Below are 20,970 nucleotides of genomic sequence, written 5' to 3' on the forward strand. Positions count from 1 at the left end.
TTGGGAGGCCAAGGCGGGCAGATCATGAGGTCAGGAGTTCGAGACCAGCCTTACCAATATGGTAAAACCCCATCTCTACTAAAAATACAAAGGTTAGGCCGGACACGGTGGCTCATGCCTGTAATCCCAGCACTTTGGGAGGCCGAGGTGGGCAGATCACGAGGTCAGGAGATCGAGACTACGGTGAAACCCTGTCTGTGCTAAAAATACAAAAAATTAGCCAGCTGTGGTGGCAGGCGCCTGTAGTCCCAGCTACTCCGGAGGCTGAGGCAGGAGAATGGTGTGAACCGGGGAGGTGGAGCTTGCAGTGAGCCGAGATTGTGCCACTGCACCCCAGCCTCGGCAACAGAGCGAGACTCCATTTCAAAAAAAAAAAAATTGTACCGTGTGTGTCTGACTCTCCTGCCTCCCCTTGCAGGTCCTCCACTTCTTCCACCTTGGCTACCCCTGAGATAGCAAGACCAATCCTTCCTCTTCTTCCTCCTTCTCAGTCTACACAACAAGAAGACGACAAGGATGAAGGCCTTTATCATGACTCACTTCCATTCAATGAATAGTAAATGTATTTTCTCTTCCTTATGGTTTTCTTAACATTTTCTTTTATTTGGCTTACTTTATTGTAAGAATACGGTATATAATACATATAGCATGCAAAAAATCTGTTAATCAACTGTTTAATAAGGCTTCTGTATATAATACATATAACATGCAAAATATCTGTTAATCAACTGTTATCAATAAGCCTTCTGGTCAACAGCAGGCTAGTAGTAGCTAAGTTTTTGGGAAGTCAAAAGCTATATGTAAGCCAGGTGCAGTGACTCACACCTATAATCCCAGCACTTTGGGAGGCTGAGGTAGGAGGATTGCTTGAGGCCAGGCGTTCAAGACCAGCCTGGGCAACATAGCAAGATCCCACCTCTATAAAAATTTTAAAAATAATTTTTTAAATTTAAAATGTTATATGTAGATTTTTAACTGTGTAGGGGTCAGTGCCCTGACCTTCTCATTGTTCAAGGGCCAACTGTGTATTAGCTTATTTGTCCCACCTGCACCACAACTCTGTGAGCTACTATCATTATCTCCATTTTACAGATACAGAAGCTTCTGAGAGGTAACTGACCCAAAGTTACAAAGCCAATTAAAGTGGTAAAAATTGGACCCTACTCAGGCCTGTTGGCTTCCTGAAGTAACACAGCAATTGAGTAGAAACGGCTGCTGGAAATGCTTCATAGGTAGGGAACTAAGCCATTTAAAATTTTATTTGCTTAAGCATTCCTTTTTTATAGTTGATATAAAGGTAAAATTCAGTACAGTTCTACCAAAACTCAAAATCTGCATTACTGGAGCCCAGTCAATGAACTTTCACCATGATATTAATGACTTAAGCTCGTGCATGGATCTACAGAATTATACTGTGATTAACATGCACCTTGGCAAACAATTTTTTTTTTTTTTGAGACAGAGTCTCCCTCTATGGCCCAGGCTGGAGTGCAGTGACGTGACCTCAGCTCACTGCAACCTCCGCCTGCCGGGTTCAAGCAATTCTCCTGCCTCAGCCTCCCAAGTAGCTGGGACTACAGGTGCGCACCACCATGCTCAGCTAATTTTTTGTATTTTTAGTAGAGAGGGGTTTCACCAGGCTGGCCAGGCTGATCTCAAACTCCTGACCTTGTGATCTACCTGCCTCAGCCTCCCAAAGTGCTGGAATTACAGACGTGAGCCACCGCGCCCGGCAAATTATTTTTTAGCCACTTTAACTTAGTATTTTCAGTGTTTTACTGCTACATTTTGTAACCACTCTAATATTTACATATCATCTGTACTATTATTTACTTAAAACTTTTACTTAATGTTTTAAAGGAAATTTAATATCACTGCTCTAAATAAAGAGACACTAAATCACTCAATAAATATTTACAAAGTGCCTAATACATACTAGGCAGCGGGGATATAGCAGTGAAAAAGAGACTAAAAAATATCCCCACCCTCATGGAGCTAATGTTTTAGTAGGGGTGACAGACAATAAACAAGATAAAAGGACGGGCAAGGTGGCTCACACCTGTAATGCCAGCACTTTGGGAGGCCGAGGTGGGCAGATCACTTGAGGTCAGGAGTTCGAGACCAGCCTGGCCAACATGGTGAAACCCCGTCTCTACTAAAAATACAAGTTAGCGGGGCTTGGTGGCTGATGCCTGTAATCCCAGCTACTCGGGAAGCTGAGGCAGGAGAATCACTTGAACCCTGGAGGTGGAGGTTGCAGTGAGCAGAGATTGTGCCATTGCACTCCAGCCTGGGCAACAAGAGAGAAACTCCTTCTCAAAAGAAAAATAATAAAGTAAAATAAACAAGATAAGTAAAATATATAGTTAGAGACTGATCAGTACTGAAGGGAAAACGGGGTGTCTTAGTCCATTCTGTGCTGCTGTAACAGAATAGCTGAGACTGGGTAATTTCTAAAGAACAGAAATTTATTCTCTTATAATTCTGGAGGCTGGGAAGTCCAAGATCAAGGCACCAGCGTCTGATGAGGGCCTTCTTGCTGTCCTCACATGGTGGAAGTCAGAAGGGCCAATGGGACAAATTCTGTGTCCTCACATGGCATGTGTAGAGAGAGAACCCACTCCTCCAATCCCTTTCTATAATGGCATTAATCCATTCTTGAGGGTAGAGCCCTCATGATCTAAACACCTCCCATTAGGACTCACATCCCAACATTATTGTATTGGGGATTAAGTTTCCAATGCATGAATTTTGGGGGATACAGTCAAACCATAGCAGGGGATATCAAGTGTGTGAGTCATTAAAATTGTTGTTAAATAGTTAAAATTTTAGATAGGGCGGCCAGGGAAGACCTCATCGAGACAGTGACTTTTAAGTAAAGACCTGAAAGGGACAAGCCATGTGGAAATCCAAGAGAAACACAATTCAGGTAGTGGAACAAACAAGGCAAAGCACTGAGGACCGAGTGTGTCTGGGATGCTTAAGGAACAATAGGGAGGTCATGGGCAGAAGCAAGAAGACTAGAGAGCTAATGCAAAAATCCAAGCAAGAGATGATGGTGGCTTAAACCAGAATGATGAGAAATGGTCAGATTCTAGAAATATGAATGTTAAGTCAACATTTGCTGATGGGCCATTTAGCTGATGGGCCATTACAAAGTGTAAGGGTTAGGGGAGGAGATCAAGGAAAACCCCCAAATTTTGACCTGACCAAGCAACTGGAAGGATGGCGCCCAATACATTTCTTTTTTCTTTCTTTTTCTTTCAATGAACCATGTGTACAGTTTTTCATATTTCTTCTTTTTCTCCCCACCCCCAGATTTGCATTTCTGTCACTTGCACCACAACCTCCCCACTCAATGAAAGAAATTTAGAAAGCACTGGTATTCAAAAGAACAGACGTAAAACTGCTTGAGGTTTTGCTCATCTAAAGCCTGTGTGTTCTTTGGAGGCTATGACTTTTGAGGGCAAGTCATAAAAGCTAAAGAGGCCCCTGCCCTGTTCACCAAAACACTTGTTCTAAGTTCTAAAACACTGTAGTTCTATGATTCTGAAATCTTGAAAGGATTACAATGAAAAAAATACTCTGTTTTCAAGAATCCAGCAGACACTTTTCAGAATACTAAATTTTGTATATTGTAAATATACCAAATATACTGTGAATATTATCAGTATAATGCAATTCTGTTCAGCATAATACTGGTACATTGATTGGTTGGCTGGGTGCCAAGGAACACAGCTTTCTCAGGGAACAGAAATACTCCTGGTTCTTAGGATTTAAGCTATTAACACATATCTATGCTTGAAAACCACATGCCACTTTTGTTAAATGAATTGATGCAGTTCAGCATCATAAGCTCAAACATTCACTAATTTCACCTTTTTCTGATTTATTCACTTGTTTATTAGTTCAAGGAGAGGACAGTTTAAATAGAACAATATATACACAATGATAGTTTCATGATGAGCCAAGACATTAAGTAAGACAAACAAGGCAATCTGATTTTATGTTAAACATTGGCCTGTTACTGTATTATTAAAATAATAGTGGTATTTGAGTTTGGAGCCAGTATTGTGGTCTCTGTACAAAAATAATGCCTTTCTTTGGCATCAATAAATCAGTATGCATCTATCTTAATTATATCAGCATAAAAAATAGCTTACTCTCCTTGGCAGTAAATAACATTGCCTTCAATTAGCCAAATTATATTTCTGTCTCAAACTACATCCAGTACCATATATTCCATGTCATCAGAGAAATTCTAAATTATCACTGCAGATTGTGTTTATTTTTACATTGGACTGTATCACAAACTGAACATTTAAAATATGAAAAAGGAAAAAACCTTCATATAACTGCCTCTCAGTGTGCCTCCTCTCTAAAGCTTCTAGGCTGCTTTCTCCACTGGGCTGCAGACCTTCCTGTCTAGTAGCTCTTGGACACCATGTGTCCCAAACTGAACTCATCCCTTCCCTCCAGCTGCCCCTATTCCTGTGTTCTGTGTATCTATTCATGACATGTCCATCCACCTGGTCAGCCACGTTCAAAACTTGAATCTTTTGACTACTCACTATACTTCACTTCCTATATCCAATTGGTTGCCAAATACTGCCCACTGAACAGCTTCCAAGCATCTAATCTCTCTCTTCTTTATCTACTGCTGGAATTCTCTTCCTGAAGCCCAGATTTATGTTATTATTTGCCTTACATTTTCCTCCCATTTTCTATGGAATGGCCTAACTCCTTAGAATGGTACCAAGATTTTCCACAGTTTGGCCATTCCTTTCCACCCCACTGCACCTTGTTTTCATTGTCCTCAGAATTTCATTTATAAAGGTGACTGGGTGATGACAATCAATGAGTTAGTGGCCAATGCCTTTGAAAATTTTATTATAGTTCTCAAGAGAAGGGGCTGTGCCTACGGCCACACGAGAAAGTATTAGGGTCAATGAGGAGGTAGAGAGAGCGAGGAGAAAGCCCAGAGCCTTTATTGCCGTGGGAAGGAATGGGCGAAGCAGGGAAGGGAAGTCTGAACAAGCTTAGGATTGAATAATTTGAATAATGTTGGCAAGCTCTGGGATATAGAGGTGAATTTTAGTTGTCTGGTACTTGGCCATGGGGTGGTTTATTACAGTGACTTGGGGCAGGGAAAATATTGGTGTGTGAGATGGATAAAGATGGTGTGGGGATATAGGCTTGGGTTGGTTGGTTTGTAAATGAAAGGGGTGTTCACAAGCAAGTTGTTTGCTATCTCTAGGAATTAGCTAACTCTGAAAGGGGCAATTCCTCCCCAGGTCCCCAAGGCCCCAAGATGTCAAAGCATCATAAAATACAGAAAACAGAAACTAAAATCCATGGTTAATACACACCTCCCTTCACACACACCCTTTACTCCCGGCTCCAGTAGCCCCAGAAATGCTCTAGACGAAGTAAGTTCTGTAGTGCATCTCTCAACAATATGCCGCCACCCATAGCCCTGGCTGAGGAGAGCCACCAAACCTGGTACTATGCGACCATGGTCCTTCCCCTGGTCACTGGATAGTGATCGCACCCAACACAGGCACCCCCATCTACAGGGTGGCTGGAGATCTATGACCATTGTGGCGTACCTGGACCAATCAATAAACTGGACCAATTGGATTTCCATTTTTAGGGATTTAAATTCAGAGCCACAAAAGGAGATTGTCAGTTGATGATGAGCTAAGACACCCTGAAGTATACTCACAACCTTAGCAAGCCATGTGCAGTCTAGTGCTCCACCCCTCTACCCACCCCGTCCAACCCCCACCAAAATACTAACAAAATACAACACACTAGTTCATCATCTAGACCATAATAACTCGCTGGGGATAGTGCTGGAAGTTTTTGTTTGTTTAACATTTCTTTCAAATACTAAGATTAACGGAGTTGCATAGTGAAAAAAACTGTAGGAAAGGGTCGGACTTAGGCCTGGAGTGAAGGGCACAAGATGCTTTTATTTTAAACCCCTAAAAGTGTTGCAAAGTGTTTTTAATTTCATATAAATAGTTAAGGATCACATGAACACAATCCAGTACAAATGGGTCCAGGAGCTTCAACGAGCGTTCCAGCTTCTTCGTAACGTTCCCACACCGTGCAGCAAGCGGAGGGAAGAGAACTTCCGGCGCCCCCACCTACCGCTCCCCAGCCGTGTCCCGCTGCTCTAAATCTGCAGACTTGATCGATTGCTTCTGCCTGGGCGGTACCGCCCGAATTGACTGCTCCTGTCTGATGCGTCCCCGGGCGCGGGAAACGAGTTTCAATCCACTTTCCTGACCCCAACCATCCTGCCCAGTCTCCGCTTCCCCGTCTTGTACACCCCTAACTCCTGAGGCTCCTCCGAATCACGCGAGTGGAAGCGGAGAAGCTCAAGTGGCCGCCATGTCAGAGGCTTATTTCCGAGTGGAGTCGGGTGCGCTGGGGCCTGAGGAGAACTTTCTTTCTTTGGACGACATCCTGATGTCCCACGAGAAGCTGCCGGTGCGCACGGAGACCGCCATGCCTCGCCTTGGCGCTTTCTTCCTGGAGCGGAGCGCAGGCGCCGAGACTGACAACGCGGTCCCACAGGTGAGCCTTTGGGTGCGGGGTCCTGCCCGGAAAGACTGCAGCTCCCGGCGGGCCCCTCGGCCCTGGGACGCCGCATCGGGGCGCGCTGCCCTTTGGGATTTGTAGTTTTCGAGGAGCCAGGGCCGAAGGCGCTAACGACTTCTCGGAAACTCCGCGGGGGTCCCTTCGCGCTCGGGGTGGTCTCCAGACTTCTTGTTCGCCATCTGTGGTGAAACTACATTTATCCTAGGTCGCCAGGCAGCCTCCAACATTGATTTCTTTTTTGAAACTGTCCAAATTAGTGTCTTCCCCCTACCCCATGCAACGTGTGTTGAATGCTTAAAGATTGGCTCCAGCTGAATACTTAAGAATTAGAGTTCTGATCATGTTTGCCTTAAAACAGCTTTGGGTTCTGTAAGAGCATGTGATAAGTAGGAACCCCAAGTTGCTAAATTCATTCCTCCATAATGATGACAGGATCAGTAAGCCCTACTGAGGCTTACTTAGTGGCAGCATGGTTGGGTGTGGGGAGTAAGCTTTTCCCTTTAATCCTTCAGCAACCAGAAAGGCTGGGTCACTTGGCCAGGGCTTCAGTTAGTGGTGAGCTGGGATTCGGAACCCAAGGCCATATGGCTTCAAATATAAAATTGTCCCAGGAACATGGCTTGTAATGATTAATTTGGATATCCTGTTTCACCTAAGTTTTGTATAGAACGATGTTTATTGTTTGGTCTGTTTGTTTCAAGTTAATTTTTATCAAAGTAATACATAACCAACGTTTTAAAAGTCAAATAGGCCGGATGCGGTGGCTCACGCCTGTAATCCCAGCACTTTGGGAGGCTGAGGCGGGCGGATCACGAGGTCAAGAGATCCAGACCATCCTGGCCAACATGGTGAAACCCCATCTCTACTAGAAAGCTGGGTGTGGTGGCCGGCGCCTGTAATCTCAGCTACTCTGGAGGCTGAGGCAGGAGAATTTCTTGAACCCAGGAGGCAGAGGTTGCAGTGAGCCGAGACTGTGCCACTGCACTCCAGCCTGGCGACAGAGTGAGACTCCATCTCAAAAAAAAAAAAAAAAAAAGTCAAATAGTACCAAAAGATTTATAAGAAAAAAAATAGCAGGTCCTGCCTTCCTTTTCCCACTTCCCCCTCCAAGTCCACAGGGCTCATGTACCTTTTTTAGTGGTGTCTTCAAGATTCATCTTCATATTTCTAAATAATATTCTTAAACTTACCTTGTTGGGTTGTTTTTTTTAATGTAGACATTATCTGTTGACTTCATCCTAGCAGATGAGGATTTCGTTCCCATACACACTGGTAAACATGGCGCTATGCTGCCCATACTTAATTCATATTTCCTTAGTTTTTAGTTAATGCCCTTTTTCTATTCTAGGATTCCACCTAGGATACCACACTGCATTTAGTAGACATGTTTCCTTAGCCTTCTCTTGGTTGTGACAATTAATCAGACCTCCTTGTTCTAATGACCTCGACGGTTTTGTGGAGTGGTGGTCAGGTATTTTGTAAAATGTTCCTCAGTTGGAAATCTTTGGTTTGGGGGTAGTTTTGTTTTTGGTTTTGTTTTTTTGTTTGTTTTTTTGACACGGAGTTACCCTGTCATCTAGGCCAGAGTGCAGTGGCATAATCTCAGCTCACTGCAGCCTCCTCCACCTCCTGGGTTCAAGCAATTCTGCCTCAGCCTCCCAAGTAGCTGAGATTACAGGCGCCCACCACCACACCCAGCCAATTTTTGTATTTTTAGTAGAGATGAGGTTTCACCAGGTTGGCCAGGCTGGTCTGGAACTCCTGACTTCAAGTGATCCACCCAACTCAGCCTCCCAAAGTACTGGGATTACAGGCGTAAGCCACCTCGCCCAGCCTTCTTTGTTTTTGTTTTTTATTCTTTTTTTCTCAGCATTAGACTTGATTATCAGCTTTAGGGAGGAAGACCACAGAGGTAAAGTGCCATTTTCATCACATATTAAGGGTGCCTACTATCAACAGGACTTTGTACTGTTCATTTGAACCTTGGCAGAGGTAATGTTCATTAGGTTTCTCCACCTTTTCATACTGTACTCTTTGGATGGAAGTCATTATCACTGTCACACTGAAGGAGTAGGGAGTTATGTTCCACTTCTTTGAGTGCAGAGTGTCTACATTAAATCTTTAGAATCCTTCTGCATGGGAGATTTGTGTAGGAAGGTTTGTATGACATTTAATTTCATTTATAGGATTATTCAGACTTGATTTCTTCTTGTGTTAGTTTTGGTATATTTGGTTTTTAACTAAAACTTTGACCATTTTATCTAATTTTTTTTTTTTTTTTTTGAGACAGGGTTTTGCTCTGTTGCCCAGGCTGGAGTGCAGTGGTGTGATATGGCTCACTGCAGCCTTGACCTCCCAGGCTCCAGAGATCCTCCCACCTCAGCCACCTATGTGGCTGGTATTGCAGGTACATGCCACCATGTCCAGCTAATTTTTGTATTTTTTTTTTGTCTAAATTTTCTTTTTTTTTTTTTTCTATTTGTACATTTGAAATTCTTCTGTAATATTTGTATATATATATATATATTTTTTTTTTAATTGATCATTCTTGGGTGTTTCTCGCAAAGGGGGATTTGGCAGGGTCACAGGACAATAGTGGAGGGAAGGTCAAGCAGATAAACAAGTGAACAAAGGTCTCTGGTTTTCCTAGGCAGAGGACCCTGCGGCCTTCCGCAGTGTTTGTGTCCCTGGGTACTTGAGATTAGGGAGTGGTGATGACTCTTAACGAGCATGCTGCCTTCAAGCATCTGTTTAACAAAGCACATCTTGCACCACCCTTAATCCATTCAACCCCTGAGTGGACACAGCATATGTTTCAGAGAGCACAGGGTTGGGGGTAAGGTCACAGATCAACAGGATCCCAAGGCAGAAGAATTTTTCTTAGTACAGAACAAAATGAAAAGTCTCCCACGTCTACTTGTTTCTACACAGACACAGCAACCATCCGATTTCTCAATCTTTTCCCCACCTTTCCCCCCTTTCTATTCCACAAAGCCGCCATTGTCATCCTGGCCCGTTCTCAATGAGCTGTTGAGTACACCTCCCAGACGGGGTGGTGGCCGGGCAGAGGGGCTCCTCACTTCCCAGTAGGGGCGGCCGGGCAGAGGTGCCCCTCACCTCCCGGACGGGGCGGCTGGCTGGGCGGGGGGCTGGCCCCCCCACCTCCCTCCCGGACAGGGCGGCTGGCTGGGCAGAGGGGCTCCTCACTTTCCAGTAGGGGCGGCCGGGCAGAGGCGCCCCTCACCTCCCGGACGGGGCGGCTGGCCGGGCGGGGGGCTGACTCCCCCACCTCCCTCCCGGACGGGGCGGCTGGCTGGGTGGGGGGCTGACCCCCCCACCTCCCTCTTGGACGGGGCGGCTGGCCGGGCAGAGGGGCTCCTCACTTACCAGTAGGGGCGGCCGGGCAGAGGCGCCCCTCACCTCCCAGACGGGGCGGCTGGCCGGGTGGGGGGCTGACTCCCCCACCTCCCTCCCGGACGGGGCGGCTGGCCGGGCAGAGGGGCTCCTCACTTACCAGTAGGGGCGGCCGGGCAGAGGCGCCCCTCACCTCCCGGATGGGGCGGCTGGCCGGGCAGGGGGCTGACCCCCCCACCTCCCTCCCGGACGGGGCGGCTGGCTGGGCAGAGGGGCTCCTCACTTCCCAGTAGGGGCGGCCGGGCAGAGGCGCCCCTCACCTCCCGGACGGGGAGGCTGGCCGGGCGGGGGCTGACCCCCCCACCTCCCTCCCGGACGGGGCGGCTGGTCGGGCGGGGGCTGATCCCCCCCACCTCCCTCCCGGACGGGGCGGCTGGCCGGGCGGGGGGCTGATCCCCCCACCTCCCTTCCCGGACGGGGCGGCTGGCCGGGCGGTGGGCTGACCCCCCGACCTCCCTCCCGGACGGGGCGGCTGGCCGGGCGGGGGGCTGACCTCCCCACCTCCCTCCCGGACGGGGCGGCTGGCCGGGCGGGGGGCTGACCCCCCCACCTCCTTCCCGGACAGGGCGGCTGGCCGGGCAGAGGGGCTCCTCACTTCCCAGTAGGGGCGGCCGGGCAGAGGCGCCCCTCACCTCCCGGACGGGGCGGCTGGCCGGGCGGGGGGCTGACCCCCCCACCTCCTTCCCGGACGGGGCGGCTGGCCGGGCAGAGGTGCTCCTCACATCCCAGTAGGGGTGGCCGGGCAGAGGCGCCCCTCACCTCCAGGAGAGGGCGGCTGGCTGGGCGGGGGGCTGACCCCCCCACCTCCCTTCCGGACAGGGCGGCTGGCCGGGCGGGGGGCTGACCCCCACCTCCCTCCTGGATGGGGTGGCTGCCGGGCGGAGACGCTCCTCACTTCCCAGACGGTGTAGCTGCCGGGCGGAGGGGCTCCTCACTTCTCAGACGGGGTGGTTGCCAGGCAGAGGGTCTCCTCACTTCTCAGACGGGGCGGCCGGGCAGAGATGCTCCTCACATCCCAGACGGGGCAGCAGGGCAGAGGCACTCCCCACATCTCAGACGATGGGCGGCCGGGCAGAGACGCTCCTCACTTCCTAGATGGGATGGCGGCCGGGCAGAGACGCTCCTCACTTTCCAGACTGGGCAGCCAGGCAGAGAGGCTCCTCACTTCCCAGACGGGGTGGCAGCCGGGCAGAGGCTGCAATCTCGGCACTTTGGGGGGCCAAGGCAGGCAGCTGGGAGGTGGAGGTTGTATCGAGCCGAGATCACGCCACTGCACTCCAGCCTGGGCACCATTGAGCACTGAGTGAACGTGACTCCGTCTGCCATCCCGGCACCTCGGGAGGCTGAGGCTGGCGGATCACTCGCGGTTAGGAGCTGGAGACCAGCCCGGCCAACACAGCGAAACCCCGTCTCCACCAAAAAAATACGAAAACCAGTCAGGCGTGGCGGCGCGCGCCTGCAATCACAGGCACTCGGCAGGCTGAGGCAGGAGAATCAGGCAGGGAGGTTGCAGTGAGCCGAGATGGCAGCAGTACAGTCCAGCTTCGGCTCGGCATCAGAGGGAGACCGTGGAAAGAGAGGGAGAGGGAGACCGTGGGGAGAGGGAGAGGGAAAGGGAGAGGGAGAGCTTGTCTAAATTTTCAATGGTATCAGTACAATGTTCAGAATTTCCTTTACTATCTTTTTAATGTCAGTAGGATTACAGTGGTGTCCTTATTTTTATTTTTAATATCAATAAATTGTGTTCTCCCTTTCTTGATTACCCTTGCCAGGAGTCTATCAATTTTTTTATTCTTTTAAAAGAACTAACTTAGGACTCTGTTGGTTTTCTCTTTTGTACCTTTGTTTTTTAGGTCATTAATTTTTTAATTAGTTCTTTCCTTCTACTTTATTTGGGCTTAATTCTCCCACCACACACACACACACAGATACACATTTTGAGATGGAAACCTAGGTCATTAATTTTTCAATCTTCTTTTATACATTCATAGCTATTCATTTCTTTTAAGTGAAATTATTCTATTCAATTCACAACTTTAATTGCGTTTCATAAGTTTTGATGTGTTATATTTTCATTATCAATGAACTAAAAATACTTTTTAGGCCAGGCATGGTGGCTCACACCTATAGACCCAACACTGGGAGGTGGAGGCAGGAGGATCACTTGAGCCCAGGAGTTCGAGACCAGCCTAGGCAACATAGTGAGTCCCCATCTCTACAAAAAATTTTTTAAAAAAGCCGAGCATGGTAGCACACACCTGTGGTCACAGCTACTCAGGAGGCTGAGGCAAGAGGATCACTTAAGCCTTGGAGGGTCAGTACTGCAGTGAGCCGTGATCACACCACTGCACTCCAGCCTAGATGACACAGCAAGATACTGTCTCAAAAGAAAATAAATAAAAATTTTAAAATACTGTTTAATTTTGCGTTTTAAAATACTGTTTAAAATACTGTTTAATTGTGATTTCTTTTTTGACCTGTAGGTATTTAGAAGACTAGTGCTTAATTTCAAACATTTTGAGATTTGGTCATTTACCATTTTTTATTTCTAGCTTAATTCCACCGTGGCCAGAAAACATAGTCTACATGATTTCAGTCTTGAAAGTTGCTGAGACTTGCTCTATGGCAAAGCATAAGACCAATTTAACCATTCTGTGTGGACTTGAAAAGATGTCTATGGGAAGTCATAGTGTGCAATAAATAATCCGTATGTGTAAATTAGCTCATTTGTTAATTGTTTTGTTGAGATATTCTCTATCCTTGCAATTTTTTTTTCTACTTTTTTTTTTATCCTGTAAAACATGTGGACCAGGCATGGTGGCTCCTGCCTGTAACCCTAGCACTTTGGGAGGTGGAGGTGAGAGGATCACTTGAGGCCAGGAGTTTGAGATCAGCCTAAGCAACATAGCAAGACCCTGTCTCTAGGAAAAATTGAAAAATTAGCTGAGTGTGGTGGCACATGCCTATAGTCCCACCTACTCAGGAGACTGAGGCAAGAGGATTACTTGAGCCTAGAAGACCACTGCACTCCAGCCTGGGTGACAGAACAGGACCCCCTCTCTGAAAAAAAAAAAAAAATTGAAAAAATGTTAAAGTCTCTCATTATGATTATGGATTAGCCTGTTTATCCTTTTACTTCTGTTAATTTAGACATATATTAATAATTTTCTGGTAGATATAATGACCCTTTTATTATTGTCACGTCTCCCTTTATCTCTAATGCTCCTGTCTTTTGATTCATGTTTACATGACTTTTTTTAATCCTATTTTTAATTTTTCTGTGTCTTCATATTTAAGGTATGTCTCTTTTATGCAGCATATAGTTGGGTTTTGTTTTGTGTGCAGTGTGCTGATTTTTAATTGTTATATTTAATCCATTTACATTTAATTATTGACATATTTGTATTCATTTTTACCTTCTTACTATTTTCTTATGTCCCATCTGTTTTAGCTTTCTTTTTCTATCCTTTCTTGACTTCCTTTTGCATTAATCAAATTTATTTTATTATTCATTTACCTTTTTATTAGTTTATTTAGTTATATATTCTTCTGTTATTTTAGTGGCTACCTTAAATATATTACACAATCATTTCTGACCAAAAAGAATGTTATATAAGTTACTACTTTCACCACTTCACAGAAATGACTAGAATCTTAGAACACTTAAACCCATTTTTTCTCTTGTGTTATTGTGATGTATTCTAGTTTGACTCATTGAAAACCCCTGTAAAACATTATTATTATATACCCACTTATATATTCTTTTCATGACTTGTTTTTCCTTTCTGCATTTCTGTAGTTCTTTCTGGAATCATTTGCATTCTCTCTTCAGAATTCCCTTATTCTGGATCTTCTGGTGATAAGTCTCAGTTTCTGTCTGTGTCACAGATGCCCAAGACCAACCCAGATTTGATGATTCACTAAGAGGACTCAAAGGACTCAGCATATAGTCACACTCATGGTTAAGATTGATTACATCAAAAGGATATAAAGCAAAATTAGCAGAGGGAAAGGTTGCATGGAGTAAAGTCTGGAGGAGACCAGGCACAAGCTTCCAAGAGTCCTCTCCTAGTGGAGTCACACAGGATGCACTTAAATTCTCCAGTAATTTGAATTCTGATAAAATGTTTGAAATACTGTCTCCTAGGGAAGCTTGTTAAAGACTCAGTCCCCAGGGTTTTATTGGAGGCTGTTCATGTGGCACTTTCTGTCTAGCACAGACCAAAATTCAGACTTCCAGAGGGAAAGCAGGTGTTCAACATGAATCACATTGTTTGCACAGACAGTTCAGGCACACTCTCATCAGTTCTAGGACGGGTGAGAATCCTCCTGAAATCCAAGTTCCCAAATGCCAACCAAGGGCCAACCTTGCAGCAGGCCTTGCTAAGATAGCAGCCTCAGGCCTACTGTGTATCTTTCCTGCATACTTTCTCTATGGAAATGCCTTTATTTCACTTTTACTTTTAAAGGATATTTTCACTGGGTATAAGATTTTACACTCACAGTTATGTTCTTTTAGCACATAAAAAAAAAATTCCATTTCCATTGTTTTGTGGCTTCCACAGTTTCTGTTAAGAAGTTGGCTTTTTTTTTTTTTTTTCTTTTTTGAGACAGAGTCTTGCTCTGTCGCCCAGGCTGGAGTACAATGGTGTGATCTCGGCTCACTGTAACCTCTGCCTCCTGTGTTCAAGCGAGTCTTCTGCCTCAGCCTCCTGAGTAGCTAGGATTACAGGCGCCCACCACTATGCCTGGCTAATTTTTGTATTTTTAGTAGAAACGGGGTTTCACCATGTTGGTCAGGCCCGTCTCGAACCCCTGAGCCCATGTGATTTGCCCGCCTTGGCCTCCCAAATTATTGGTGTGTCTGGAATTGGTTCCTTCAGGTGGGTTCTTGGTCTCGCTGGTCTCGCTGACTTCAAGAATGAAGCCGAAGACCCTTGTGGTGAGTGTTACAGTTCCTAAAGGTGGTGTGTCCGGAGTTTGTTCCTTTAGATGTTCAGATGTGTCCGGAGTTTCTTTCTTCTGGTGGGTTTGTGGTCTCGCTGGCTTCAGGAGTGAAGCTGCAGACCTTTGCAGTGAGTGTTACAGCTCATGAAGGTAGTGGGGATCCAAAGAGTGAGCAGCCATCAAGACTTACTGTGAAGAGCTAAAGAACAAAGCTTCCACAGCGTGGAAGGGGACCCAAGCAGGTTGCTGCTGGTGGCTTGGTGGCCTGCTTTTATTCCCTTATTTGGCCCCACCCACATCTTGCTGATTGGTCCATTTTACAGAGAGCTGATGGTTCATTTTACAGAGTGCTGATTGGTCCGTTTTACAGAGTGCTGATTGGTCTGTTTTTACAGAGTGCTGATTGGTGTGTTTACAAACCTTTAGCTAGATACAGAGCACTGATTGGTGCATTTACAATCCTTTAGCTAGACAGAAAAGTTCTCCAAGTCCCCACCCAACCCAGAAGCCCAGCCGGCTTCACCTTTTATTGGGATTACAGGCGTGAGCCACCGGCCCCTGCCAAAAAGTTGGGTTTAACTCTTAATGTTCATTCTTTAAAGGCAGTGTGTTCGTCACTCCCATCTACAGCTGTTTTTAGGATTTTCTCTGTCTTTGGTCTCGTAATTCAGGTAATATATGCCTAGTTGTGATTTTATTAGTATTTATTCTATTAATACTTGTTATTCATAATGTTCCTTGAATCTGTGGTTTGATACCTTTTTTAATTTTGGATAATATATAGCTATTATCTCTTCAGACATTTATTTTGCCTCAATCTATCGCTCCTGCCCATCAAATTACATGCATGTTGAACTTTGTCTTTCTTTTACACCTTATTTCATACATCTCTTAGGCTCTTCTCTGTTTTTTCTCTAGATACTTTAGTCTGGTTATTTTCTATTGACCTTTTCTCATTCACAGTCCTGTCTTCATCCAAATCCAATCCAGTAAACATGTTAAATTTGATTTAATCTATTGACTTCTTAGGTTCAATTATTGTATTTTTCAGTTCTGGAATTTCCATTTGATTTCTAAGTTTATCTTAAAGTTGGCGCCTAATTTCTCTGCTATTCGGTGTCAAATAGGGGGCTTACTTCCCTCCCTTCTTTCTCAGATCTTAGGCCCTCATGTCCTGGTGGTGTTGGCAGCCTTGAACTCAATATTGGTCTGTCTAGTCCTGTGCAGTTTGCCAAAAGCTCTGCTTCCACACCCACAAAGCTGCTCCCATCTTTTTGCAACAGTTCTCCCTTGTGAGAGTTTTGGCTCTTACTGCTTCATTCAATCCAGTTGTTTGCCTTTGATTTTTTTGGAGATTTATGACTCTTAATTTCTGGTCTGTCATGACCACCTCATCTTGTTTTCTAATTCTATTGAGGCTTTAAAAACTAGAGACATGTGTGCTGTCATCTCTGAAGCTGTGAAGTGGGATGGAAAGGGGCTGCCACTCAAGCTCAGGTTGATCTTATTTTTCTTTCTGACCCCTAGCATCCAATAGGGTGCTCAGTACATAGCAGGCACTCGGCAAGTGGATATTTAGAATAAATATTGAATATTCAAAGAAAAAGGAAATGTTTACTATAGCTCTGAAGTGTCTACAATTGGACAATTTTTATGTGTTAGTTAGAAAACTCTCACTTATGCTACATTTTTGTTCACCATGTTTTTGTTGTATAAATCCATTTTCTCTCTCCATTCCATCATCACATAAAACTTCAGCCCACACACTTCATTGCTTCGAGTCACGACCAGGTCTTCTGTGCTTGACAGCCACTCCCCCAAAGAGAAAAGGCAGTATTGCGCAGGCGATGTGTATTTCCTTTTCGTCACACACATTTGCTGTGTTACTTGTCTGTTTTTAAAATCTACATTCATGCATGCTGCAGGGTTCCAAGCTTGAACTACCCTTGTGGCTGGCAAAAGGACTTTTTGACAACAAGCGACGGATCCTTTCTGTGGAACTCCCCAAGATCTACCAAGAGGGTTGGAGGACTGTGTTCAGTGCAGATCCCAATGTGGTGGACCTCCACAAAATGGGGCCCCATTTCTACGGGTTTGGCTCCCAGCTCCTGCATTTTGACAGTCCCGAGAATGCAGACATTTCCCAGTCTCTGCTGCAGGCAAGTAATGGGTGTGAAAACCTGTGGTGCTGCACTTGTCTCAAGAGCCAGCCACAGATACTACTTTTACCCAGGACAGTGTATGACTTGTAAATTTAGTCTGTTTTTATTCCAGGTCAGCCTACAGTTACACTGTCTGTCCATTTTATATATTTACATATATACACACACACACACACACACACACACATTTTTTTAATATGACTTGTCTGCCACTCCTCATATTTGCTTGCTACAAGTTGAGGCCAGCAGGAACTCTAGGAAATGAGAAAAGGGTGATGATGGCCAGGCATGGTGGCTCACACCTGTAATCCCAGCACTTTGGGAGGCCAAGGCAGGAGGATCGCTGAGCCCAGGAGTTCAAGACCAACCTGGGCAACATAGTGAGATCCCATCTCTATTAAAAAGAAAAAAGAGAAAAAAAGGGCTATGGTGCATTACAGGTGACAGGCACTTAGATACACAGTCCCAGGCCTGGCCTAAGGGTTCCTGTTGGAAATACAAGAGTTATTGGGTTGTTTCCTTCCTTTGTTCTGGGGTTAGGGCTTGGCCCTGCCATGAACTAGCAATATGACTTGGTCAAGCTACTTGACCTCTCTAGACATCAATTCACCTGTAAGAATTGATGGAGATGATAATAGTGCCAAAATTATAGAGTTGTGGTAAAACTATGTAATGCCGTGTAATAAACAATAACTCATATTGTTATTACTTTTCCAGGACAAAACAATGTTATACATCTGTTCCCAACCTTTATGGTATAACCTTATTTTAATTTTTCATAATTACTTTTTTATTCTGTTACTGTTAGAAGAAACCATCATTTCTTCCTCTTGGGACAGAAGCATTTGCTACTAATGACAATAATAGGTGATGCTTCTCAAGGAGCTTGCTGTGTGCTAGCCATTTGCTAGGTGCATTACATGTATTCATTGGTTTTCTTAACAACTTACTGGATTTTCATAACAATCCACTTCACAGATGAGGAAATTGAGGCATGGCAATGTGCAATAACTTACTTGGGTGCTAGAGGGAATTCAGACCTCCTTCTGAGTCCTACACATCATTCTTTCTTTTCATGCCATTTAAATGTTCTGAGATAAAAATGGATATGACTTTGTGGGGTGTGAGGTCAACCCTGACTTGTCTTACTCCCTTGTTTCCCAGACTTTTATCGGACGTTTTCGCCGCATCATGGACTCCTCACAGAATGCTTACAACGAAGACACTTCAGCCCTGGTAGCCAGGCTAGACGAGATGGAGAGGGGCTTATTTCAAACAGGGCAGAAAGGACTGAATGACTTTCAGTGTTGGGAGAAGGGGCAGGCTTCTCAGATCACAGCTTCCAACCTCGTTCAGAATTACAAGAAGAGAAAATTCACTGATATGGAAGACTGAAAGCCGGAAGAACACAGAATGGCTCCTCACAGACGTATCCCTCCGTGTGTCCTTGATAGGAGCTGGTTGACCTTGTACAGAACCAGAATCCTGTCCCATTTCATGGCTTATTTCCTGTGGCCATAGAGAATTATAGGGAACTGGACATGCTGGAGGATGTGGGTGTCCCTGGCTCTGTGAGTCTTCCAGGACCGTCCCACCCTGCTGACCCACAGCCCAGGCCCTTTAACCCAAGAACCCATGGCCAAGGAGAAATCAAAGTCCTTCCTAAATAAGAATCACTGCCATATAATATATCACAGTAGAGTTGCAACTGAGATTCCTTGTGTCTGGGAGTTTGGACAGCTTCAGATGTACAGTTTCACTAGCCACAAAGCACAGGTACAAACTGGGTCATCGCCTGTTCACAAAATGCTCTCTTGATCTTATTTGCCTCATCTTCCTCATGGTTGTACAGAGGATAGCACCCCACCATGCCAGCCTGACTTGGAGATATCTCCTGCTGCCTGCCTGCAGGGAGTTACCCCAGTTTCCAAAAACAGTCGCCCAGATAAAGGAGGAAAAGGGAAAGGCAGACGAATGGCATGGCTTTTACTAAAGAAAAGATGTTGGCCTCATACTCTATACTCAGGGCTTAATGAACTGGAATCTGCATAACTCAGCAGTCAACCCAGAAGGGAAATGGTTAAACTGAGCTTGTTATTGCCTCGGAGAGCCTAAGAGCACCCGCACACTTAATTCTACTCCCTGTCTAGAAAAGCTGTCAGGGAGTCGTTTGGAATTGCAATGTAGTTATTAAGGGCTGTTAACCAGCCTGCATTACATCTGGAAGTCAGGACTTGGGTGCTGACTATGAAGGGCCCTGTTTTCAAAATCTAACATTGCAAGTGTAAATGGGCAAGAAGCCTCCGTTGTGCTTTTTTTTTCCTCTTCAGTAACTTTTGCAACATTATTGCATAGAAGATCCCTGACCATTTACTAGGAACCTGGTTAAGCAAGCACTAATCTCTTTTCCTGGAGATCAAGGATGCAACCTCAGGTTGAGAAAGAAACAGGGTTCCCTGGGCCCATTAGACTGTTTGCAGGGCATCACTGCTTCCCCCTGACACCTCACAACTAGCAAAAATTGTCTTTGTCTTTGGAAATTATAGAGGGATTTGGGTATCCAGATTGTGCAGATGCAAACTTAGGCTGTCTTGATGCAAACTTAGAACCACAGAAATGCTTTTAAAATGCCTGTTTTAAGATGGAATTGTTGTTTTTATAATTTGATTTTAGTGCTAAATAAATGATTGGCTTTGTACATGAATATGTTCTGTACAAGTGCTCTTTCACTAGTACTACAGATAATCAAAGCTATCAGAATTGTGTCTTTGATCATATTTGACGGTAATACACAAATCCATGTTTTAGCAGCTGCTCTTTTGCTTGTGTGGTACACATAAATAGGAGGTACATTCTCTGTAGGAGGGTGCTGTGTCCTAGGAAGATGAGATTTCCATTACTACCGCAGCATTTATATATAGCCAGGGCCCGAGAAACCATTCATAGAGCGAGAAAAGCATATTATTTAACTTTTGGCATCATTCTTTTCACACATAGCTTTATATTTAAAGTCAACTCTAAGTCTGCTGCCATTTTTTCCTACTTCCTAAAAAAAAGAAATTCCTCAGGGGCCATGTGTCAGGAATATGTAGGTATTCATGTCCAAAACTTAGCCCCTATTTTACATTTTGAACAGATTATATTACATGTAGCTTTTGAACTCATTTTCAATTACAGATCTGCCTTCAAGCCTGTCGGACTTCCCCTCTCCCCAGCAGCCCTCCAGTTAGTCGTTTAGATTTTGATTTGGTCCCTTCAAGAGGTTAATTTTTCAAAAAACACAACAAATGGGCTCAAATACCAAATTGCTATCAAACTCCAGGGAGTAAAGCTGTGCCCTTTCCCCTGAAGCACTCTGTTCCCACATGACTGTGGCCTTACAGACAGAAGACCTCAGTATATATAGGTTTTTCCCAGGGACAGTGTGGGCTGCCAGGAGCAGTGGGGCAAGGCTCTGTCACTGTTGATTCCTCCTGCTGTTCGTGACCTCTGGATTTGGGTGGCTCTGGGCTGTCCATGCCTCTCCATCTCCACGCAGATGGCTCCCAAATTCCTATCTCCAGCTCAGATCGCTCCCTCCAACTCCAGACTTGTATCCAATCCCCTGCTTGATGTTTCTACGTCTCCACGGCCTGCTCCTCCTCTGATGTTTCCCATCTCCATTTTTTACAACTCCATCCTTCCCTATTGCTTAGAACAAAAACGCTATGTCCCCCCCTGACCTTCCTCCTCTCACGCTCCATATCTTTTGGGTCTGCCGTCAAATCATTTGCAGCATCCGGCCACCTCCCCATCACCTGTGGTGCTGTCACTCGGGCCAGGCCCCTACCGTTTCTTT

At 45.3% G+C, this 20,970-nt stretch overlaps 1 protein-coding gene across 3 annotated transcripts, besides 5 other annotated features; it reads left to right on the forward strand.

The window, feature by feature from the left end:
• Positions 5,908 to 6,485: an enhancer, noted in NCBI's record as "H3K27ac hESC enhancer chr16:58426014-58426591 (GRCh37/hg19 assembly coordinates)". NCBI's record gives its function as "activates a minimal SCP1, AML or CMV promoter by ChIP-STARR-seq in primed H9 embryonic stem cells {active_cell/tissue: H9 hESC(primed)}" and the evidence as "EXISTENCE:reporter gene assay evidence [ECO:0000049][PMID:30033119]".
• Positions 5,908 to 7,062: a biological region, named in NCBI's record as "H3K27ac hESC enhancers GRCh37_chr16:58426014-58426591 and GRCh37_chr16:58426592-58427168".
• Positions 6,092 to 6,581: an enhancer, noted in NCBI's record as "active region_10925". NCBI's record gives its function as "activates an Ori minimal core promoter by ATAC-STARR-seq in GM12878 lymphoblastoid cells {active_cell/tissue: GM12878}" and the evidence as "EXISTENCE:reporter gene assay evidence [ECO:0000049][PMID:35858748]".
• Positions 6,269 to 19,945, forward strand: GINS3 (GINS complex subunit 3). Of its 3 annotated transcripts, NM_001126129.2 has the most exons (4): positions 6,269 to 6,585; positions 8,900 to 9,016; positions 16,896 to 17,129; positions 18,297 to 19,945. In NM_001126129.2, the coding sequence occupies exons 1-4, from the start codon at positions 6,400 to 6,402 to the stop codon at positions 18,525 to 18,527; spliced, it is 768 nt and encodes a 255-aa protein (NP_001119601.1). In that variant the 5' UTR covers positions 6,269 to 6,399; the 3' UTR covers positions 18,528 to 19,945. The 3 variants fall into 3 exon arrangements, with proteins under 3 accessions (NP_001119601.1, NP_073607.2, NP_001119602.1); NM_022770.4 differs by lacking the exon at positions 8,900 to 9,016; NM_001126130.2 differs by lacking the exons at positions 8,900 to 9,016; positions 16,896 to 17,129.
• Positions 6,486 to 7,062: an enhancer, noted in NCBI's record as "H3K27ac hESC enhancer chr16:58426592-58427168 (GRCh37/hg19 assembly coordinates)". NCBI's record gives its function as "activates a minimal SCP1, AML or CMV promoter by ChIP-STARR-seq in primed H9 embryonic stem cells {active_cell/tissue: H9 hESC(primed)}" and the evidence as "EXISTENCE:reporter gene assay evidence [ECO:0000049][PMID:30033119]".
• Positions 9,091 to 9,736: an enhancer, noted in NCBI's record as "NANOG-H3K27ac hESC enhancer chr16:58429197-58429842 (GRCh37/hg19 assembly coordinates)". NCBI's record gives its function as "activates a minimal SCP1, AML or CMV promoter by ChIP-STARR-seq in naive H9 embryonic stem cells {active_cell/tissue: H9 hESC(naive)}" and the evidence as "EXISTENCE:reporter gene assay evidence [ECO:0000049][PMID:30033119]".
• Positions 19,946 to 20,970: the final 1,025 nt, after the last annotated feature.

This window comes from Homo sapiens, chromosome 16 (genome assembly GCF_000001405.40).
Source record: "Homo sapiens chromosome 16, GRCh38.p14 Primary Assembly".
Taxonomy (NCBI): domain Eukaryota; kingdom Metazoa; phylum Chordata; class Mammalia; order Primates; family Hominidae; genus Homo; species Homo sapiens.